A 24,094-nucleotide genomic window follows, 5' to 3' on the forward strand; every position below is an offset into this window, starting at 1 on the left:
ATGTCTCACTATGTTGCCCAGGCTGGTTTCAAACTCCTGAGCTCAGGCAATCCTCCCGCCTCGGCCTCCCAAAATGTTGGGATTATAGGCACGAGCCACTGTGCCCAGCTAGCAATTTCTTTATTAGACGCAAAAAGGTCAGAGAGAGGACAGAAAGCATGATTTAAGTTTCATAAACATGTCCTAGAAATCTTGCATTTAGCTTGGATTGTTGTTTCGCTTTGATATAATTTTCTTTTAATTTCTATACATTATATTCAAAATAATTAAGAGAGCACATTCTTTACTTGGCATAGTTTGTTCCACTACACAACACAAAGTTCATTCCTACTATGCGCACAAAGAAAATTTACATTTTAAGTAATTTTTTTTTGAATGAAGACTTTTAAATGCATAGTCTTAGATTTTAAAGCTTCTTTTTGGACCAAGGACACCTTCGAAAATCCAATGAAAGCTCTGCACATGGGCCCACACATGTTTTGCATGCAATTTAAAGGAGGTCACAAACTCACTATAGTGAGTGTACCCTGAGATACTGCCAACACCATGAGCTCTCCAACACCAGCAGGCTACAGATGACAAAACTGGTCACGATACCACTTTGTACTTACATATCACTTCACAGTTTAACATACCCCTGAAGTTATTAAGTAAATGATTTAACCAATTGGAGTGAACTTTAAAGACATCAAATGATTTGATCTCTACAAGGAGTTCTCTAAAGACTCATAAAATAGAAAATAACACTGAGCATGGCTAAGTGCAGGAAGTAGATCATGGAAACGACAATCGGCCTTTAGCACTGGGTAGTGACCCCTGCAGATCTGAGCAGCCTCAGCATCAAACGGAGAGACCATGTGGTCTGTACACACGATATTCCACTCCTAATCAGACGATTCTGTCGGCAGCTGTGATTGTCAGGGTCACGGGCGGTGTTGGAGGGGTATGCAACTATGATTGGGGTTAGCACAAGGGAGGCCTTGGTGGTAATGAAATAGTTCAGGATCTTCACTGAGATAATAATGGTTACACAATCCACAAATGTGATAAAGGGGCACAGAGCTGTATGAGCAGATGGTACCAATGCCAATTTCCTGGTTTCATCATGCTGTACTGTAGTTACGTAAGATGTAACCACTGGGGAAAACCAGATGAAGGGTACACAGAACCCCTTTACTATCTTTGCAACATCCTGTTCATCTATAAAAAGTTAAAGAAAAAACCCTCATGACTATTAATCAAGGGCTGCAGATGTTTCTTAGATATAAATACATTCAGATCATCCAGTTCAATAGAGAGACGAAAAAATACACAAGCAACACAACATCTATGCTCCAGATGCTCAAGCTCTTTCTTAATTCAGCCTCCAGCCAATAAGGAAGTCAAGTCGTTCTTCAGGCTGGCCTGGACACCTGGTCACATGCTTGTCAACCCCTAACAGCTCACCTCTGACTACAGGTAAGGTAAAGAAGTTTTGAAATTTAAACCATTATTTTCCACAAAATAGCAACAGCCAATCATTTTCCCACAAAGTTACGATACAGCATCAACCACTGGTGTCTCTGGTGAAGCTCAACAGAAGCTGCTAAGGCCTAACTAACCCCCTTCAATGTAGATTTTTTGTTAAATGAGAAAGAGTTCATTAACTTCGGCAGGACTGCTGTATTATCGGAGAAAGGCTGATTTTGGAATTGGACGGACACAGATTTAAAAGCCCACGTGTGCCATTTTGGAGCATTCTAACAATTCTCTCTGTGCCTCAGTTTCCTCACTGCTACAGAGGAGATACTGATATTTACATGACGGGATTGCTGTGAGGATGAAATGAGAAAAATCCAGCACAGGGTTTGGCACACAGGTGCTTAATAAAATTGGAATTCTACGATGGCAGTCAGGAGCTGTAGAAATTAAAATCAGTAGGCTTCCCTTATTGCAAGGGTGATGCTGTTACCCAAGCCAAGAACATGGTTAACGCCAACGTTCTGGAACTCTGGATGCTGAAGACAGATCAGCATCGGCACCTAACTAGAGCACCCACAGAGCTACTGCTACCTTAGTGGCCCGCACTACCACGGTTTCCAGGACTCTGGAGGGAGGTGACCTCCAGCAACACCTTGGCCTCTGCAATGCCAAATATAAATCCAGACCGACGGAGCTATGAGAGTCAAGCGAAGCAACAACATACAACATTCCCGCCAACTGAGGATGGGAGCCGAAAGAGGTTGTATTTTCAAACAAATCTGATCAAAGTCCTCCTGCCTTTGACTATAAGGGCTGTTGTAACTAACAAGGTTAAGGTTTCTTAGCAATAGTCTACTCAAGGAAGGTACCGGTATACCTCAATAAAAGCAAACTTAACATATGAACATCCACAAGGATGTCAAAGATAAATGTAGAGGTCATTTTGCTTTATAGAAAGATACTCTGTTTGTCTTAAATGTGATTACATTTAAATAGATTCTGTTTTCTGCACACATGCAGGCATGTCAAAAGGAAAATACTGCCTAGACGCGACCTCCTCAGTGTGGCACACAGGTCAGCAGCAGTATCACCTGGGGGCTCCTCGGATGGGGATGTACAGGCTCTCAGCCCCCGCCCAGGCTTCCTGAGTTGGAATCTGCAGTTTGACAGGGAAGACCTGTACACACGGCAGGACTTGAGGAGCTCTGTCCTCAGGGTTACTCACGACCCGGAAGCCAGAAGCTCTCAGTACAGCTGCATGGCAGGCTATCCCCGTGTTCTCAACCCTCGCTCCTTACTGAACGTCAGAATAACTGCTGCAACAATTGGGGAGGAATTAAAAAAAAATTTTTTTTAAATTTTTCTCCTTTTGTAATATAGATACCTGGACCCTGACCGAAGATTTAATTTAATCGGTCTTGGGCAGAACCCTGGCATTAGCATTTGTTTAAAGCTCATTAGGCAATGCCAGGACGACCTTGTTGAGAACTATGGCTACAGACGGAGAGCAGGGCCTGGTAGAAGACCACCTCACCAACAGGTAGGACCTAAATTTATCACTGGAAGAAAACACTGAACTGGAAGAGAGAGAGAGATGTGACTAATGGAAATCTCACACAAAACACGATGTTGCATCAAGGTTGATCATCTCTACACACACTGGACCAAAAGAGATTTTCCTGGGGCTAGCATTAGGGAACTGCTTTTGAAGCTCCTCAAACACAGGTGGATGTCTCACTTTAACATGACTTAGCTACCAAAGAGTCAAGTAACACCACACAGTGTTGAAAACCTCAAGGCACCCAACACCCAATAAATTCTCAAACAGAAATCTGCCAGAGGATCAGAAACCTCTGATCTCTTACAACTAAGAGCTTTCTGCACCAAACACATAAATTCTCTTAAAGTTCTACAAAAGCCCACAAGTAACATTTCCCTCCCTGATCTGTTCAACTGTACATTTTCATAGAGGGTGTCCGGGAGGGCAAAGGCTGGGGGTGGTGGGTGAGCAGCAGGCAGAAGAGAGGATCAACGTGCAGGGATGTGGAAACGCCAGTACAGAAGGCACGTGAGCCCCACGGGGCTGGGGAGATGGGGGTTATCTCAAGGTATGGGAGGGACGTGGAGTTGATACAAAGGCTCAGGGTGTGATCGTGGGGTGGGGGCAGCTGTTGGGCAGAGCAAAGGAGATGGAGTTCAAGAGGCGCGGGACTGGAATTCTAGTTCTTCCTGAGGACACGGAGACGACTGAGAGAGTCAAGGAAGAGGGGTTGGAGAGGAGGCTGGGATAAGCCAGAGGCCATGTCCTTGGTGAACAAGGAAGAGTGGCGTAGTCCAGGTCTCACGGTGAGCACTGAGGGCAGAGGTACAACCAGAAGCCAGCCTGTCTGACCATGGCTCTTTCCAGCAGCCCCTTGTGAAGGAGCAGCCGGCACGGCCGGATGTCAGAGCGGCTCCTCCCTAGTGACCACTGCCTATCCCGTGACTCAGCATAGTCCGCGCAGGCACCAAAGCCAGGTATCCTTTCCCAGCCTGCTGCTTCCATCTGCTGAGGGTGCAGGGGCAGACAGGGGCTAAAAGACCCAGGAATTCAGTCCCAATCTGCACAGGGAATCATCTAATGAGACTTCTAACCACTGGTAATTCTGGACTCCCTAAAAATTATTACTATTAAGAAACAAACCACCACCCTAGAAATAAAGATTTCTGTCAGTCTGGAAAAATGCCAGGAATCAATAAACCAAGTCTTCTTTTTTGTTCTATGGTCACCAAGGGCCCTGGCTACAAACCAATAAAAGATCATCAGTACAACATACCAGATTAGCTGAGTAACAGTGGTCACAACCATATATTCCAGATTTTCTCAGACAATGCCAGTTCTAAATACTTTTAGCCTGTTATCTTTAGAAATCCATAATCCTAATATATCTCAAACTATATCCAGGGCTGTCTCTTACACTTCAAAACAGCACAAAAAATTCTTTGCAATATTATACAGCCCAATTTAATAATTAGAATAAATTATGGAGTTCATTCCATTGAGGGTGTAGTTTAGTCACCCCATTCTTTTCTTCTAGTTGTAAGGCAAATAATATTGTATAATAGAGGAAATACCCATCAAACCCCCTTATAGATGGTGCTGATCTAGCGCTGTCTCAAATGCTGTTAGAATGGGACAGGCTGGTTCTAGAGAATGAAGGTGACATGCTTCCTCCCACCTCCATTCCAAGTGGAGTAATGCAGTTTGAGCAGAACAGACAAAATCCCTCCCCTTCTCGGCCATGGAAGAGATATTTTCCCCTCTGATTGTATCGGCAATGGGTGTTCTTCCCCAAGTTTAATCTAGTCCTCACACCAAAACAAAAAGAACAAAAGCCAAACACCAGAAAACACTTATTCTTTTTTTTAAAGATTCCTTATAAAACATTATCTACCCACTAATATTATGAAAAGGATCATATCTAGGCTGTGCATGAAGCCTCCAAAGTGTTTTGGAAAGTTTGTCAGAAAAGTACTAGTCATAGATAGAAACAGTCCTATACACAGGTGAAAATCAGACAGTATTAAAGCGGAACACGGAAACTGTACGTGGCTTTATACCTCGGGAGTCTTCTTACTCTGTCTTTTCCCAAAAATGCAGTCAAGATCTGTTTTGCTCCGAGATGACAGATCCTTCCCTAGAAAAACAATGTGATGCTTTTCAGTAAGACTGTTCTTCCTAAAAGAAAGAGCGCAGACATGAACTATGCAGCACCTCAAAGGAAAATGGCTTTTGGGAAAGAAAGAAACAATTTTGAAACTACTGACTTTCTACCCACTTTTTCATTACAACTCTTTCATTAGTAAACAAAATTAATTAAATTTTAAAACCAAGTAAATGTTTTAGAACCAGAACTCTTGACATTCTCTTAATTGTAGAAACAACCTAGAGCATACTGACTGCAAGGAAAGCTAAATTCTACAGCTCACCCTACTCCCGCTATGCCCTCAAGATGCAATTCCTGGGTCTCTGGGTTCTTCATTTAAAAATAGATCTCATTTGCTTCAGAGACATGAGCTACTTACTTAGAAGATTACGAAATACACATGAAAAAATATCACTAGATACACAGCTCCAGACCCCACATATGCACATGAATGAGAACGTATCATATTTGACACACAGGATCTTAATAATTAACTCAACAAATAAAAATTTTAAAAGAATATATGTAAATCAAAAATACTGTAAAAGGGTGACAGGGTTTCAGATTTTTCTTCTTAAAATGTTCTTTACTGCTCTAGCTATATTGTCTCTAAATAAAAAGCTACATAGGGAGAGTAGGAAATTAAATGGCTCTATGGTTCTTATTTAAAACACTAAACTCTTTAATTTCAAACCCCCAAACCAACTAATTTAAAATTCACTTCTTTGGAATTTCCACTTCTACCCAATAATCCTCTGTGAGCAGTAGGCCAAATCTAGTCCCATTTGTCAACGGCATGGTAAATGCATTTTAAAATGTAACTACTCCATGTAAAGGCTTGAGGCTCTGGGCGAGGGAGGTTCTGGGTCAGACACAGGAATGTGAGTCTCACGCTGGAAGCCGAGTTCCACCGTCACAGACTCACTTGTCTTCTTGGTTTCCTGTAGCACACTGCCTTGGCAAAGTAATGTCATGACCCAGAAGGTTCTAGTTCACTATCACTGGGGCACTTAAATATGATATTGCTCAGTGACTCCGTGAAATTAAAAAAACAAAACACTCTTCAATTTAATGCAAAACCAGGTGCCAAAACCAGTTTCCTAGGCAGCAGTACCAGATGAAGTGGCCCAGGCGGTATGACCTGTTCCTGCCAGGAGGGCAGGCTCCTCTGGGCTCTGGCTGCTGCTCTCCTTCCTACCTGAGCTTGACACTAAGCCCTCCTGCTTTTCATTTATGATTAAATAGGACCTACACAAAAAGACCCAAAAGAAAACCTACTTAAGAATAGACGATGCACACCACAGATACGGCAGAAAATGAACCGGGAAAGTGGGGAAGAAAACTGGTTGTAGCGGGAAGAGGTGGACAAACTCATCGGAGGTGTAGAGATGTCCTCACAGCTTTGCTGCCAGCACAACCCATTTTCCAATGCAAAGCACAGTTTGTACTTCAGAAAAGGCAGCTGTACTTAATTCAAAATGTGTACTGGCCATCTATCCCTAACCTATCCTCTGGAATAGAGACACTCTAGAAAATGCAAATTAAGGTCTCTTCTATAGCAATTTGACTAAAAGGAATGCTGGAGGGATTAAGGAAGAGAGGGTACATGCGAGATCACAGTTCTAAAACATGATGTCAAAATGTGAACACACAGATTCAAAACAGATCTGAAAGTCAAAGGGAAAACTGTCAAGCTGGTAGAGACAGTAAGCTATATCAATGAAGGTGCAAATGTGTCTAAAGTTTTGATGATGGATTCTTGTATCAGAAATTTTTAGCCTTTAGCAAAGTTCACTTAAGTAAATGTAGAAACCAGGATTGTTACAGGCCTTGCTCTGGATTTGATCTGGAAAACAAGAACACAGAGAAGAAAGAAGAGTCAGAGACCAGTGGAAAGGAACATAAAAGGTGGACAAAAAGGTGAAGATGGAAGTGACCTTGAGATAGTTACTAATTAATGGTCCTGATGGAAAGCTTATAAACACCAGGAAATTATGGCCGCTTTTGAATAAATACGACAAATTTAAAAAGCATTTAAAAAGCTTATTTGTTTGAGTTCTGAATTATGGTCAAATCATACAAAATACTGTTGATAAACTTAGAGAAAACGACAATGAAGAAAACTGAATAGGAAACATCTATCTGGATTTGGTTCATCTATTAGTCTTCAATGCGTAACATTTCCAGAACCAGTAAGAAAGGCCTCCAAGAGTCAAACTGAAAGTTCCTGCAAGGATGAGCAGGTACTTTCAAGGAAGAACACTCTATTTAGGTTTGCTTTAGCTGTTTGTCTAATAATCATGATTATCAGTTTCCCAGTCTATCAGAGTAGCTACTGGGAAGGGAGGAACATTACTGCTATAGTCAGACACATTTACAATACCAAGAAATACACATGGGAGGCAACTAAAACTTTCATTGACACGAGAACTTAGGAATCAAGATGATTTGGAAACAGTTTAGCAATAACCCAACAAGCTGTATTAGAACTGAGGCTCAAAAAACCAACTCTATGGAAAAGCAGAGTTGAGCTGCCGAGAGTAAAGAAGTGAAGGGCAAGGAATATGTTTGCTAAAATAAAAAAACACTTAAGGTTTATGTAGGTAGCTTCAATAGTTTAGAAAATTCATTTGCATTATTCAATCAAGAAGGACAAATAAAATGACATACTTTTATTTTTATCTTTTTAAATGGCAAACACACAGAACTGGCAGTCAACCGAGGGCAGAAGATAAGGGTAACTCCACTAAAAGACACCATAAACCAGGAAAGTGGAAAGAGTCAGTGTGAGTGACACAGGTCAGACCTACCAGGTGCTACCTGATATTTATTTAAATGTCAAAAGAATCAGAAGAGGAGATTGAATGCTCCTCACTACCAGTGTGCAACTGAGGGGCGGGGCTGACTGCGCTGTGAATACCAATTCTGTATTTCCCGACCAGGAAGCCGAGCACCTGCACATGCGTTAGGCATGTAGTTTCCTTGTTTCAGTAGCATATAAAATAGCCCAAACTCTCAAAAGGATTAAGAAGTCTGCAAGATTCCCAGGATAAAGCTGCACAATTACAGTTTATGCAACTTTCATCCAACAACTGCATAACTGAGGGGAGGAAGCACTGCTCTCCTGCTCTCCTGCCAACGTCTCACCATCCAGTCAGAAAACCTCAGAAATGGCTTTGTATCGATTGACATTTTCCCCTCTGCAGATATAGCCTCTATCTGCAGAGACCTTTTGCATTAAAAAAAAATACAAAAAACTACAAACCAAGCTGGAGTTGAGCCTTTAAATAAGTATGATAAAACTGACATTTAAAATTATACAATAAATTAGCTCAAGTTAGAATTATAAACTCAGGACCAGGGAAAGGAATAATTATATATCAGAACTAAAACGATATAACCAACCAGGTGCAGTGGCTCACACCTGTAGTCCCAGCACGCTGGGAGGCTAAGGCAGGACGATCACTTGAGCCCAGAAGGTCAAGTCTGCAGTGAGCTGAGACTGTTCCTCTGTGCTCCAGCCTGGGCAACAGAGTGAGATCCTGTCTCAAAATAAAAATAAAAATAATGATACAGCTGATATTTAGGCAGTAGCAAATTTTACAACACTATTTGCTACTGTAATCTTAGTAGAGTAAAATTTTAATCTTCACTCTTCCCAAGCTATGTACAATTGCATCTTCCTGTTTGATTTCCTGGACGATACATGAGTTGCAATATGAATCATCCTCATCAACTAAGTGAATGAGTTACAGTCGTTATCAGCATACCCACTGGCGAAAATCTTTATTATCTACAATGCTGAAAAAGCAAAAGTTCCATGAAATGGGTCATTTCTAATAAATCATAAAACAGAACCTACCTTAGAACTTAATAGTCACTTACAAATGTATCCACATTTTACAAAAGAGGAAACTGAGTCTGAAGGGAAATGGGTAGGTGACTTGTCTGAGCGAGTAATGGCCAGAGTGAGATTTTCTGTGATCTAAGATAGTCCACCCTAGAGGAAACTTTAAAATAAGTGTGCACCGTGATTGGAAAGCTAGCTGATAAACCATTCTTTTCCTCACTCCCTGGACTTTTGCTTCCTTCTCCCTTTCCTACGTAGGCCCAGTCTGCATGTCCTTCCCGTCTCCACTCCAGCTCTTCTCTGCAATCTGACAATAGATCCGAGAATCCTTCTGTTCTGCATACTGACTCCCTCTTCTCCCCAGGCAAGGCTAATAGATACAGAACCCTCGCTGGAAGACAGAAAACGAAGGCACGAGGCACTCAGCGGTCTCACAGGGTCACCCAGCAAAGGAGTGGCTTAACTAGAAATAGAAAGCAGATGCTCCCGGCATCCATTAGATTAAAGCAGATTACAGAGGCTTATCCCAGCCTCAGCAAATGCTTCAGATGAAATCATGCATGCAGTCTGGCATCAAAGGAAAATTAGAAGATTCTACCTGTAAAAGTGAAAGCGTAAAAGGCTGCCACATCATCCGAAAGTTACAGGTCACTGAGTTTTATTAATTTGCTCTGCAACAGCACCTTCTGTGATCTCTAGTTTTTCTCTACAGTCTAATGAAAGAAGAAATGCTATTTCAGGGACTGGGTATGAAGTGAGCATGTACCCTCTCTTCAAAAGGACTGAGGGCCAAGGAAGCCTGTATTCTGTTCCATAGCACGCTGGGGTGGAGAAGAACCCCAGTCAGAAGGGATACGGGCGACAGCCAAGAAAGTTCCATGTGAGAGAAAGAACGGAGGAAGCGGAAGAGCCACGGCTGCTGGAGAGGGAAGGGAGGCCCAGCCTCTCCCTGCACACAATCCCCAATCCACTCAGCTCTGCCACGGCCTCTCACCTCAACCAAACCCAGCCCTCACTTTTGGGCTCCTGGCCCTAAATGAAAAGCATCATCAATACTTCAGAGTAGTGGGGATTCCAGCTCCCACTGCTATCCAGGCTGGCTGTACAAGTTAAGAGCTTCCCAGCAATGCCCTGATACGCATGACATTCCTAGAAGACCAAAGCAGAGATGTGCTGTTCCTGGCATATCAAGGTAGAAACACATCCAACCTCCCAGGAAAGAACCATCAACAGAGACTAGATATTACAGCATCAGCAGCATCATCACGCTTCTTATGTAAACTATGTAATAAGTAGGTTTCTAATTCATGATACTGTTCTACAGACAAACTGGGGAGTTGGTTCTATTAGGTTAAATTGCTTCTTTCCAATGCAAGATCGCCACCTAGTGGCTGAAGACAACAACCGCATGCACAAATGATTTCACATACTGGGAAGGGGCTAGGGAGGTGGTGATGAAGGAATAGGAATTCTCACCCAGGTCTCAAACGGCTTTTTACCCGACTTGGCAATGACTATGGAATGCCTACGCTGTGAAATGGAGAAATTACGTGGAATAAAGGGTCAACCAGGGAGTGTGCTTTATCACACTGGAGGTATCAATATAGAGCATAATTCTCTAACCTGGCGTATTAAAAGCTATTTAACACCAACTTTCAGCTGTGAAAAAACACCATGCAGCTAAAAATGTTGGGCAAGAAATTAAAATTATTTTCTGACCTAGCTACATAAAGTCCCGTTTTCCTCTAAATATAAGCTGATTCCATTTTTTAGCTCAGCCACAGGACTTGTTTACAGTCTAAAACCTAATCTGGGTCCCATCTCAGATCTCCTAGATCTGAATTCTAACAAGATCCTCAGGCACACCACAGTCAATGCGAAGACTCCAGCGCTGTTTCACAGCAATGCAGTCGGAGCTGTCCATAAAGCATGAAGTCGCTATTGGCCCAGAGCTAAAATGCTTCAAGCAACTCAGGACAAACACGTAGATTTCAATAACAAGTAAAGAAATGCTTAATCTTACCTTTTGTGAATTTCATATAGTGAACACGGTTTTTGGAGATTTTGGACTTTTCCTCAAGGCTAAAAGATTTCTTTTCCTTCTTGTCCGAGGAATCTTTAAAAAAGATGAAAAAAATACATTAAAGTCTTTCTAATCCAATCTCATTTATTCTCCTAACAGTGGATAGTCTTGAAAGAAAATTTTAGGAGCCCTATCATTAATGATTGAACTCTTTCATTCATTTGCTCTGCAACAGCACCCTTCTGCTGGATCTCTGTTTTCTTTCTAGGAGTCAAATGATTAGAAATATTTCCTTAATTTGCATACTATGGATCAGGCCAGGCTGCCCTCCAGAAATTTAGAAAATCCTTGAGGAAGAAATGGAAACTTGTGTTCACACAAAACCTAGACACAAATGTTCACATTAGCCTTATTCATCATAGCAAAATACCAAAAATCACCCCCAAGTCCTTCAACGTGTGAATGCATGAACAGCTGAGCAACCCCTGGGCCATCCTTACAGTGGAATACCACTCCACAGTAAAGAGCGGCGGCCGCTGCCACCGCAATGGCCAAAACAAACTCCAGGGCATTGTGCTTAGTCAGAGGTCCATCTACAAACATAACATATGACTCCATCTACAGAACATTCTCGACATGACAAAACTACAGAGAGAGAGGACAGATGAATGGTTTCGAGGGGACAAGGATGAAGGTACAGTGGGTACAAATACAAAGATGAGGCATGAGGTTGCTGTGCCGTGGTGGCCAATCCTGTATCTTCACCATTGTGGTTGCTGCATGAATCTGCACTTGTGATAAAATTGCACAGAACCATCCGCCCATGTACAAATGAATGGAGACCAAAAAAAGATGATGAAAACTGGCTAAGGTTTGTGGTGCAGTTGACAGTAACACCAAATGTCAACTTCCCGGTTGCGAAAAGCCACAGCAATGTAATGTCTCTCCACCCTGGGAGAACAGGGGGAAAGACGTTCAGGACTCTCTGAATTATTTTGCGAATTCCTACAAGCCTGTAATTATTTCAAAATAAAAAGTTCCTTTAAAAAGTAAATAAAGGTAAGACAGGTTAAATGATCACCTAAATACAGATCAGAGATGACGATTAGGTGACGCATGGAGGAGCAGCAATAGCTCCAAGCCACCTTTTCAGGGTTTCGGGAAGGACAACTGGAAGGGCAAAAGGAGCAGGAACACACCATTGAGGAAGACATCCGAGTGGTAACGCCTTTGACGGAAGGGAAAATGTGAGCCAGAAAGTAGGTCCTTGCCTGAAAGGTTGATCAGAGCAGGTTGATCTGGGGTTAGAGTCAATTATAAATTAGCTAGCCACCTGCATTCTCTCACCTGTATCTGCTTGTCAAGTTCAGACAGAAGAGTGCCACAGAAACGATCATAGGCAGAAGAGAGACTAAATTTTCCTACAGTTTTAAGAACATTCAGATATGAGGTTAGAGAAACTGGAAAAAAAGCAGCCGGGCGCGGTGGCTCATGCCTGTAATCCCAGCACTTTGGTAGGCCGCAGCAGGCAGATCATGAGGTCAGGAGATCGACACCATCCTGGCTAACATGGTGAAACCCCGTCTCTACTAAAAATACAAAAAAAAAAATTAGCCGGGCGTGGTGGCGGGCACCTGTAGTCCCAGCTACTCAGGAGGCTGAGGCAGGAGAATGGCGTGAACCTGGGAGGCAGAGCTTGCAGCGAGCCGAAATCACGCCACTGCACTCCAGCCTGGGTGACAGAGCGAGACTCCATCTCAAAAAAAAAAAAAAAAAAAATCCAACAAACCAACCTTCTTCAGAGGATATAAGAGAAATTGGAAAAAAAGAAACTCTCACCCTGACAGTGGAGCGAAACAAGCACGTGTCCATTCAACAACATGTGACTGCACTGCAACCCCTCCCAGGAGTCACTTATTTCAAAGGTATAGTTCCCTATGGGAACTATACAGCAGGCTCGAAAGAACGTGAAGGCAGATGTTCCGCACTTGAGGCAAAGCCCAGCACGGGCTCATTATTTCCACAAGCTGAAACATTCTCTTCTGCAGCCACTTCCCAGGGACACCTTGGATTTTTTGCAAAGACATCCTACCAGTAAATTCTTCTCTTTTGCACTTCATATGGCACATAACATTTTCAATGCTGATGTTCCAATCACAAATCACAGAGGAAGTTATCAGCTTAAAGCGGCTCCTACCGACTGCAAGTGTATGAGGGACGAGGCGCTGGACTGGAGGCTTTCCATGAATTCTTGGATTTCCTTCCCACAGCCACTCCATAAGAGAGCTGCTGTGATGCCTGAACTCACTACAGAGGACGACACTGATAAGGCACACCCAGGAAGCCCCCGCGATGGGACCGAAGCCCAGGCAGACATGACGCAGAGGCCACATCCTGAAGCACCACGCCGTGCCCTCACAGAGCAGCTCTCTCAGCCTTGAGAGGGCAGAAGAATCACCTGGTGAGCGTCTCTACCTTCTCAGCATGCAGGTATCAAGAAGGATGCGTGAGCACCGCCAGGCCTTGAGGAATCACTTTCTATCTATTTGTTCACGTGCACTCATGCCTGAAACTGCTCGGAGTCTGACTTATGCACCAATCTGGCCGTCCTTTCCCGGGTATCCCCTCCCACTTTACAAAGGAAAGGCACAACTTTCCTCTTACCGGGATCAATGAGGGACAAGGGAAAATACTGTTGTCAAAGCAGCAATCAAAGCAGCTGGCCCGGCCCTCACACCCCTACGCTAACCCAGCTCATCAGGAGGTGCACTGCCAAAGAGATGTGTTTAATAAGCATTCATTAAAATGTATAACAGATCTGCTAATTTTATTCACTGTGATCTACTAATCATGAGGGTAGGTGCAGTGGCTAAAGCCTGTAACCCCAGCACCTTGAGAGGCTGAGGTGGGTGGATCACAAGGTCAGGAGTTGGAGACCAGCCTGACCAACATGGTGAAACCCCGTCTCTATTAAAAATACAAAAATTAGCCAGGCGTGGTGGTGTGCACCTGTAATCCCAGCTACTCAGGAGGCTGAGGCAGGAGAATCGCTTGAACCCGGGAGGCGGAGGTTGCGGTAAGCCAAGATTGTGCCACTGCACTCCAGCCTGGGCCACAGAGCAAGACTCCATCTCAAAAAAAAAAAAAAAAAAAAGAGAGAGAGAAAATAAAACCCTAGATTCTTTATGAAATCCTTCAGAGTAAAGTAAATTTTCTGGCCTTAATCGTGGTTTATGGCTCTAGATTTGCCAGCCACACTATCAGGAGGCTTACAGTGCTGAGTATCTCTGCTTGCTTTTCTTAGATGTTATAATGCATTTAGTCCTCACAACAACCTTCCAAAGATGATACTACTGCTTCCATTTAACCAAAGAGGAAATCGAGGTACAGCCATGTTCAGCAATTTACCGAATGTCATACAAATGAAAAGTCAGACCAGGATTAAAATCCAGGCAGTCTAACTCTGGTGTTTGTCTCTAAACCACTGCATTCTATTTAATCTCCAAGTCTTATATGTTCATGCTTACATTCTTACATTCTTTTTTTTTTTGGAGATGGAGTTTCACTCTTGTTGCCCAGGCTGGAGTGCAATGGCGTGATCTCGCCTCACCACAAACTCCGCCTCCCAGGTTCAAGCGATTCTCCTGCCTCAGCCTCCAAGTAGCTGGGATTACAGGCATACGCCACCACGCCCAGCTAATTTTGTATTTTTAGGAGAGACAGGGTTTCTCCATGTTGGTCAGGCTGGTCTCAAACTCCCGACCTCAGGTGATCCGCCCGCCTCAGCCTCCCAAAGTGCTGGTATTACACCGTGCCCAGCCAAGCTTACATTCTTATCTGTGTTTCTACTGAGTTCAACTGTGATCGTAAATATCAAGATGTTTTCTGTGTATAATTAGTAAGGAATAGTGTCCTTGAACTTTACTACTTCATAGATCCTGCATTTCCTAATATGAGTCATTCAGTATTTTCAGAAAACATTTTCCTTATCTTTTTCTTCTGCTAATAAATTATTGCCCTTCATATTAGGACCACACACAGAACTGTTAGGTTATTTCAAAATCATGATCCTATGGATAAGGAAAACTGTCCAAGTTATACATTCCAACAAAAAGTCCAATCTGGTTAGAAAAAATACCAACAAAGCACCTTTCCCTTCACACTGTTGGGCTCACTTCCACACACGTCACTGCAATAAACCTTCCTATGGTTAGATGTGTGCTGTGATTTTACCAGGTAATTACCAGCATATTCTGCTAGCTACCTCCAAGCAGGACTGTGTCTTATACCTCTGCAGATCCTCACACCTAAACTAGTACCCAGCACACAGCTCAATAAATGTTTGCTGAACTCAAGTCTAATTCATTATTTCACTCCACAAAATTCTTTCAATCTACCAAATATCTTTTGATTATTCACACATGACACACAAGGAATAGACTGTTCATAAACAAGAATGTTTATAAAAATGCTTGCAGATTACAACAAAATCCAATTAAAAAATGGGCAAAGTACTTAGACACTTCTTCAAAGAAGATATAAAAATGGCCAATAAGCGATGAAAAGATGCTTAACATCAGTCATTAGGGAAATGGAAATCCAAATCACAATGAGACATCATCTCACACCCATTAGGATGGCTATTATCAAAATTATAAAAGATAATTACTGGTTAGGATATGGAGAAATTGGAACTCTTATGCACTGTTGATGTAGCCACTACAGAAAACAGTACGGCAGCTCCTCAAAAAGTTAAAAATAGAACTACTATATGATCCAGCAATCCACTCCCAGGCATTACCCAAAGGAAAGGAAATCAGCATGTTGCAGAGGTACCTGCAAACCCACGTTCACTGCAGCACTATTCACAACAGCCAAGATATGGAATCAACCTAAGTGTCCACCAACACATGAACTGGGAAACATGTGGTGCATACACACCACGGAATACTATTTACCCTTACGAAAGAATGAGAGTTTTTCATTTGAGGCAACATGGTTGAGTTTGGAGGACATTAAGTGAAATAAGCCAGGCACAGATAAATATCACATATTCTCGTTCATATGGAAAAGCTAAAAGAGTTGAGCTCATAAAAGTAGACAGCAGAATAGTGGTTATTAGAGCTGCGTAAGGAAAACAGCTATGTAGGAACAGCTAAAGATTGGCTAATGGATATAAAAGTCCCACTACATAAGAGGAAAAAGCTCTAGTGTTCTATAGCACTGTAGGGTGACTATAATAAATAATATTTTATTTTATATTTTCAAATAGCTAGAAGAACAGATTTTAAATGCTCCCAACACAAATAATAAATGTCTGAAGTGATATATATGCTAATTACGTTGATGAACATAACACATGTGTACATTACAAATTGTGCACAGGTATTGACATATCACACTATACTCAATAAATATGTATAATTATGTGTCAACTAAAAATAATAAAAGCAAAAAACAAAAAGTAGATAAACATATTTGCATTGAGAACTTATGTCATCTGATTTCCCTACCTGTGGTTTCCTGCCCATGGCAAGTGTTCAGTTCGGCCAGAAGCTGGTTAAAATCATCCTGATGGGCAATCCAGTTGTCCTGAAAATATCAAAGAAATGAACGAGAGGTAAGCCTGTAGTTTACTTACACTGACTGAGATGATACATTTTGGAATCAAGGAAATCCAGTGGTTAATTAAGAAATTTTAAATGTTCCATCAAAATACTATTTGATAAATTTAAGTGGATTCAAGAAATAATATAAAGTTAAAATGCTCTTTATCCAGGTCAATATTAAAAAGGGGCTTCCTGGAAGCTTAAGGCCTGATTTCAAATGTGAATGACTTATCGATCAAGTCAATATATAGTAAATAATCAACAGGCAACCTGTGTGCTAAATGTTAAAGTAAAACATAATGAAATGACTATTTTTTTCTCACTAGGGGAAATTCCATAGTTGAAAGGACAAGAACCATGCGGGACAAAAAAATGCTCTTCTTTGCTTGGTAGAATTAAAATCTTCTAATGACTTGCATCAACTCCAATTTTACAAAACTCTGAGGAAGGGGAGGAGGAAGAACCTTAAGTCCCCTGAATCGATGAGTTCCCATTTGTAAGGTGGTTACCTAATAAGTTTATTATAAAAAAATGAACCTGGCTTTTATAAGAGAATGAAGATCTCCCAAACCAGTGGGAAGCAGGGTTTCAGTGTACGAATCTGCCTTACTCACATTCTTAGCAATTTTTAAGAATGCTTAAGGTAAAGGAATATGAAATAGGTTTACTGGGCAATGCTTCTTCTAAGAAAATAAGTATATCTGTGTTATCTATCCCTCAACAACTACATTTGAAATCAACTTTATATAAACTCTTTCTTTAGTGGCTAAAAATTTTAGCTCCGCCAATCCACTACTCAGAGATACGGAACTAACCAAAGTAATTCAATTTACCTAAAGTAATTTCCCAGATTCCCTACCAGATTATGTTGGCTGCAAAAACTTAGAAACAAAACTTTTCAGTTTAGATCCTTTCCAAAAGGGAACAATGATACTAAAAATAAAAAGCGCGGTAGGCCACTGACTCTGAGTTATAGTGCCATGCATTCAAAGCGTCAGTGTTCAAGAGGAAACGTGAATAAAAAGAAGTGCTGCACCAATGGTCAGAAGCAGATGAACCAATCAACTTTCAGATTTACAAGACTGAAGCCAATTATGCAAAGACACCCAGGAGGCACACACTGCTGCTCACTTCATTATTGATGGTAGCTCCGAGTCCCAGGTGGTTATTTTTCACTTGAACTTTAATATGATCTGTGGCTCCTTGCTCCTGAGCCCCTAAACCCTGTGGAGATTAAACACAGAGAGTTAGAACATTCCTCTCACTGATACTCAGAAGCAGAGCACTGCTACAAAACTCACAGATGCCTACGGCAGGTGTTCTGAGTTGATGATTCTCTCCATTAAATACTTTCACAAAGCAACATGGGGGAGGACTCTAAGTCCTCTGCATCAATTAGCACTCATCTGTAAGATTTTCCAGGTAAGGAAAGATCAAGTGCAAAGACCCGAAGGTGGGAAAAAACTCAGTGTACTGGGAAACCTCAGAGGCACCCAGGGTGGCTTCTGCAAATTAAGGAATGAAGGAAGTAGGATGACGGAGGGGCTAGATCTCACATAACCTACGGGAGGAATTTGGATTTTATTTTAAAGACAATGGAAAACCACTGGTCTTTTAAGGATGACATGATCTAATTTCCATATTTTAAAAGATCATTCTGGCTGCTGTACAGCAAATGGGCCAGAGGAGAAAAAGGAGGGAGGAAGGGAGGCAGCTGAGAGTCTGACCAGTCAGTGAGCTCAAGTGATGACAGTGGCTGAAGCAGGGCTCTGCCCTGCATGGAGAAGAGACGACTGGGGTGCGGGAGGCTGGAGAAGAGACGACTGGGGTGCGGGAGGCTGGAGAAGAATGACAACTGGGGTGCGGGAGGCTGGAGAAGAATGACGACTGGGGTGCGGGAGGCTGGAGAAGAATGACGACTGGGGTGCGGGAGGCTGGAGAAGAATGACGACTGGGGTGCGGGAGGCTGGAGAAGAATGACGACTGGGGCTGCGGGAGGCTGGAGAAAAACGACGACTGGGCTGCGGGAGGCAAGAGGGCGGAGGAATCAAGCATGACTGTCAGGTTTCTGGCTTGTGTAAGTGGCAGACGGTGCCATGTATGAAAAATGGGGAAAACCTGGGAAAAATATATTTGGGGGAATCAAGAGTTTTATAATAGAAATGATACCCTTGAAATGCTTACTCAAGTGGAAATATCAAGTAGGCTATTGAATTTACAAATCTAGAGCTCAGAGGACAGAACTGGACTCAATATAGAAAAATGACAGTTCCCAGACTTTAGCTAATTCAAAGTGTGGCAAGGGAATGAATGAGATCACTGCAGCAAAGTGCAAAAAAGGGGCCTGAGGTTGAGCCTCAAGGAGCCCTAATAATCAAAAGTCTATAGAAAGAAGAGACAGCAACAAATTTAGGAGTGGCAAGTGAGGTGAAAAGAAGAGCAGAAGAGACAATAGCACTGTGGAGGCCAAGACAGAAGTATTTCAAGGAGAGAGTAGTCAATTACATCCAGCACTGCTGAGGAGTTAAGTAATGTGAGAACAAAACAAGCGGCCCACTGATTTGGCACTTAGAGATCGCTAAAGACCTCAACAAGAACCATTTAAGTGTAGAGGTATCAGCAGAGGCTCTACTGGAGTCAAGAATAAATGGAAAGGGAAAAAGCGTGTAGCCTAGTTGCAATGTCTATGAAAGATGCTAAGCATGGCAGCTTAAATGATAGAAAGTTGACACTTATGTCCAATCCTAATTTATCATCATAAGGTCACAACAATTTTTGATTTGGGATCAAAATCACTTACTGATCCAAAGCATAAGTTTCTTCCAGTCTCCTAAGAAGGAAGTTTTCCCCTAATTTCTAATCTCTTTTCATAGCTCAGATTTTTTTCCGCTTTTCTCCAAAATACCTTTCCTTTAGACCACCCCATCTTCTCTAGCATCCGCTGGCCAAACTTGGAATCGTCATTACTCCAGGCAGTGTTCTGAGGATCCACAGCCCACTTCTGCTTCCGCCGACCTGTAAATGAAAAAGCATTATCATCAGCAATGGAGATGATACCCGGAAAATACCACACAAACATACACATGCACAACTTTGTGTATTTTATGTATGTATGTAAAATATGACATACATTACAATACAGAAATTAATTCAACACTCAACAGAATGTTAGACTGGATCATTTATCCTGATTTCCCTAATAAATGTATATTCTAGACATATAAGTTGACCTCTTAAGATTAAAACTGAAATGTTCCCTCATAATGTGGCAAAGCAAATGCTCAATATACTAGAGCTGGGCCTTCCATACTCCGCCATCAGCACAACTGAAAGCACCTGTGGACACCAGCATCCTCATCACCATCAGCAGTAGTAGCAGCAGCATTACAGCTTCCATTGCCATGCGTTACTACATACAAAAGAACATGCAATACCAAGGATGCGCTTAAAATAGTAAATGCCAATTATTCAACCTGAGACCTGCTCCAAACGCTGTACATAATATTCAGTTTTCACAGTACCCCAACGAGTGTGGATAGTACCATTGTCACTGGCAGATATGAAAATCTGAGGCTTAGAGAAAGAAATTTGCCGAACATCCCCAAGCAAAAACCAGATCCTTTAAACCAACCTTGGTCCTACTAACTTCAAAGCTTATATTCTTAATTCACAACATACAATAGTCATTATGCTCTTGGGGAGAGTCAACTGTACCCTCCACACATGTGACCTACAGATAATAACAATCCCATCCCTCTCATTGAGATGCCCTGAAGCCCTCTGACCCCTCTTTGAACTTCTAGAATAACTTATCTGTTTCTTAACATCCACTGTATTAGGGCTATTTATATCCGCCTTTCCGGTTTCCCATTAGACCATCATCTCCTTAGGGCTCATATTCATGTCTTTTTTCTGAGGCTTCATTGCAAGAAGTAAAAAAATCACTGTGCCCACAGCAGGCACTCAATAAATATGTGAATGGAATAAACGATAAAAATGAAGAATGGAAAGAGGAAGAAAGGAGGAAAGAAGAGGGAGAGGAAAAAAGGAAGGAAGGAGTATAACTGAATTAAGGGAACTGCTTTGAATCTCATCAAAGCAACTTTTTTTAATGCATATAAATTACTGATCATTATGAACTCCAGTTTATCACTGTCGTTTTAAGGAAAATTATGGCAAAAATAAAGAACTCCAAAGGTTCAAAGCACAAGAATGTCAAACTGAAAAGTAGACTGTGGCGAAATGAGAAATTTGGAGGTGTCATTATCATTTATCTGCCACATCAATATAAGCACATTGTCTCACCATCAACACAACCCCTCCTACCTTGCCCATCTCATCACATAATTAAAAAATAACATGACCCCCTGTCAAAGGGGCTCACTGTGGCACACATAAAATCAATAGAGGCCCATAACTATGCACACTCCAGCAAAAATAGGAAATCCTTTACAAATACACAGGCAGAAAAAAAGGCCCTTAACAAAGCAAAACAAGTTGGGCTCGAATTTGTAGTGTTTTGCAGAAAAAAAAAGGTGACCCAAAAATGTTCCATCTAAATTACCACTTTACTTATCTTGGCAAATACTCAGCATAACACTGCGTCTGCTAATGAACAACACACCAGAGAGAAGCCTGTTAGCCAGTATTCTATATGCAAGCTGGCATCAGTGTGTCAGAGTTCATGTGTCTATGCAGTGCTTGCCAGGGGTCTTTGACTAGGGCTTGTACGAAGGAGACAGTTTTGAGAATAAGCTCACGCTCTGCAGTTAAGAACTGCACACGCTTCACATTACCTACTTATATAAAACAAACTATAATGCCTACACAAGAGATTAGCTATTCAAGGTCAATTCCTCTCCCCTGGGAAAATGGCAGTTAGCTTCAATCAATGGGATCACACCAGTGTTTCCAAACAAGGATGTTGGGGGGGCGGGGGGTGGCAGTTTCCCATTGAAAATGAGTAACACTGGGTTAAACTAAATTTCATATGGAAGAATCTCCCGGAAACTTTACTATGCAAATGTGCAGATCCTCTTAGAGGAGGCCAGAGCAGGCCTGCCATGCTTCCCAGACTTCACTTGACCAGAACCCTGCTTCCCTGGAACATTTCCCAGCTCTAATGGCACCCAAGTTTCCAGGTGTGGAAAATCATGGTAAGGAAAAGACTGCCTCTGAGCTGTTCCAATTGGATCACCTTTTACATGTCCTTTGTAATTCTCATGCCACAGTCTGTTCTGTGCTCAGATCTCAGCTTTGTTCACTAACACAGAAGGCCTGACTGCTATCCTTTGAAAGGCCTGTTCATAACAGGGAACTCAAGGGTTCCCACCATTCGCAGAACTGGTAAGAGTGGCTCATTGTGCCTGTTTATGCAAATGATACAGTTTATGCTGAGCACCTGCTTTCCTTCTGCGAGCCAGGAATTTTGGTGCCTCCCAGGTAGAGGGTGTCTATGTGACCAGGCCCCAGGAAATCCCTAGCACCGAGTCTCTCACTAGCTTCCCTGGTGGGCAACATTCCATATTTGCTCTCAGAACTCACTACTGGAGGAATTAAGCGTGTTATGTGTGACTCCCTGGGGGAGGGCTCTGGAAGCTTGACGCCTGGCTTAGCCTGGACTTTGCCCCGTGCATCTTTTCCTTTTGCCGGCTTTGCTCTACATCCTTTTGCTGTAATAAATCTTAGCAGTGAGTGCGACTATATGCTGAGTCCTGTGCCTGAATCCCCCAGCACATCATTGAATCTGGGGATGATCTTGGGGACCCTTGACACGATCTGGAACAGCAGTGTTTACAGCATGGCGCTGGGCCTCAGGTAGAATGCCCTGAATCTGCAGAATCACTATTTGGGAAGTATTTAACCATCCTCTAGCAGGTACTCCTATGTGGAGATCTAACTGTAAATGGGTCTGTCGGGATACTTTTGGGGCAAATCCAATAAAAACCATCCACACAACAGCTCAATACCACATGACTTATGCTAGGATCCCATTTACTCTAAAGGGCGTGTTGAGTCCCAAGAGCCAGAGGCAGAAGTTTTAAACAATCTCTCAAAATTCAGAGGTTGATCAGAAGGAGAGTATTGTTACACTAAATTAAATTTGGCCTGAGGAGGCCTCCGTACTTGAGTCCTTACATAAGGAACTGCAACCTACGTTAGAACTTAAAGGAAGCGAAAGCCTACCGTAGGAGTATACTCTTATAACATATAAGTGAGCCTCAATCCATTACAGCAGCTAGGCTTCAATCACAGGCAGCCATCTGATTCAAATAAGGCAAATCAGAGCGGTAACCCTAACCAAGTTGTCGCTGTACCTCACTTCCGTTTACTGTCCATAAATACTGCCTGACCACATAGCAGGTTGGAGTTCTTAGAACCGGTTCTAGTTCTGAAGGCTGCCCAATTCTTGAATCATTCTTTGCTCAATCAAACTCTGTATAATTTGTCTAAGGTTTTTCTTCTTAACAACACCAATCCTAAGTATCTAATTACAGAAGATGCTATACCCATTTAGCAAATTACGAAAAAGAAAACACAAAAATATTACATATTATAATGACAAGGATTTGACAATTTGGAATAACGTTGGGAAGAGGAGAACTGAAAACACTCTCTTGAAATCATGTAATCTGAATTACTGATGCCTACAAATAGCATTTTACACCTCTATACTTCAGACTTTTCAAACTATGTTCATGTTCACCATCTCACTGATTTAAGGCCACCTAGGGATAAAAATATTAAGAGAAGATTTTGTGGCCTCACAAACACTGATCAAAGGAACAGACATAAATGAATAGCAGAACTAGGGCCAAAGTCGCCAAGTGCATGCTGAATTAAGCAAACATCAAAGAATACGAAAACCAGAAGAGATCTTAGCTATCTAGGCTCTAACCCTGACTCCTCATTTTTTACTGGTGAAAAAATAGAACCGACGGGTTCAGTCTAAAACATACTCATTTCTATGGGTCTCCGCTGGTCTTACTGGCAAGAACATAAAGATACAGAGATAACTGGATCAATTTTGCCATTTTCTACCTCAATGACTAGGGGCAAATTATTTTCCTTTGAACGTCAATTTCTGCCCCTGTAAAATCGGGATGGTGCCTGACCCATTTCGTTTTGTGCTCCTAAGTCCTCCACCCTCTTAGAAAAGAGAGTGCTAACAGCACTTATTTCACAAAATCCCTGTGCTGGTCTGCTTGATCTGTTAAATAAGCTGTTTCTGTTCTTTGCTCACTGTACAACTCGCCAAGCAGGACCCGCTTTTCAGGATCAAAGCATGACTGCCATCTGGCGGCAAGCGACCTTCGCTACAGGTACAATTCAGAAGTTCAGCAGCCTCTACAGAGACAGGGGTTTCACCGACTCCACCAAGTGAAGATAAATGTCAAAGGTAAACAGGCAGGACGGGGCGCTGTGGCCAACTAACAAGGTCAAAAACGCCAGTCTCACTTAGAAT

The 24,094-nt window shown here is 42.2% G+C and overlaps 1 protein-coding gene and 1 non-coding gene across 3 annotated transcripts in view; both read right to left on the reverse strand.

Moving 5' to 3' along the window:
- PINX1 (PIN2 (TERF1) interacting telomerase inhibitor 1) overlaps positions 1-24,094 on the reverse strand; it is a 74,915-nt gene that overhangs the window by 50,171 nt on the left and 650 nt on the right. Inside the window, exons 2-6 of one of the 2 annotated variants that reach the window (NM_017884.6) lie at positions 19,535-19,644; positions 17,761-17,853; positions 16,534-16,612; positions 11,021-11,113; positions 5,062-5,138 (exon numbers count right to left, since the gene is read on the reverse strand). In NM_017884.6, coding sequence (NP_060354.4) covers positions 5,062-5,138; positions 11,021-11,113; positions 16,534-16,612; positions 17,761-17,853; positions 19,535-19,644 — 452 coding nt within the window. The remainder of the gene's footprint in view (positions 1-5,061; positions 5,139-11,020; positions 11,114-16,533; positions 16,613-17,760; positions 17,854-19,534; positions 19,645-24,094) is intronic. The other variant, NM_001284356.2, reaches the window with a different exon arrangement.
- Positions 10,242-10,312, reverse strand: MIR1322 (microRNA 1322). Its single transcript, NR_031711.1, has one exon. It is a non-coding gene; the product is annotated as a microRNA 1322 (primary transcript).

Source organism: Homo sapiens, chromosome 8 (assembly GCF_000001405.40).
Source record: "Homo sapiens chromosome 8, GRCh38.p14 Primary Assembly".
Lineage (NCBI taxonomy): Eukaryota > Metazoa > Chordata > Mammalia > Primates > Hominidae > Homo > Homo sapiens.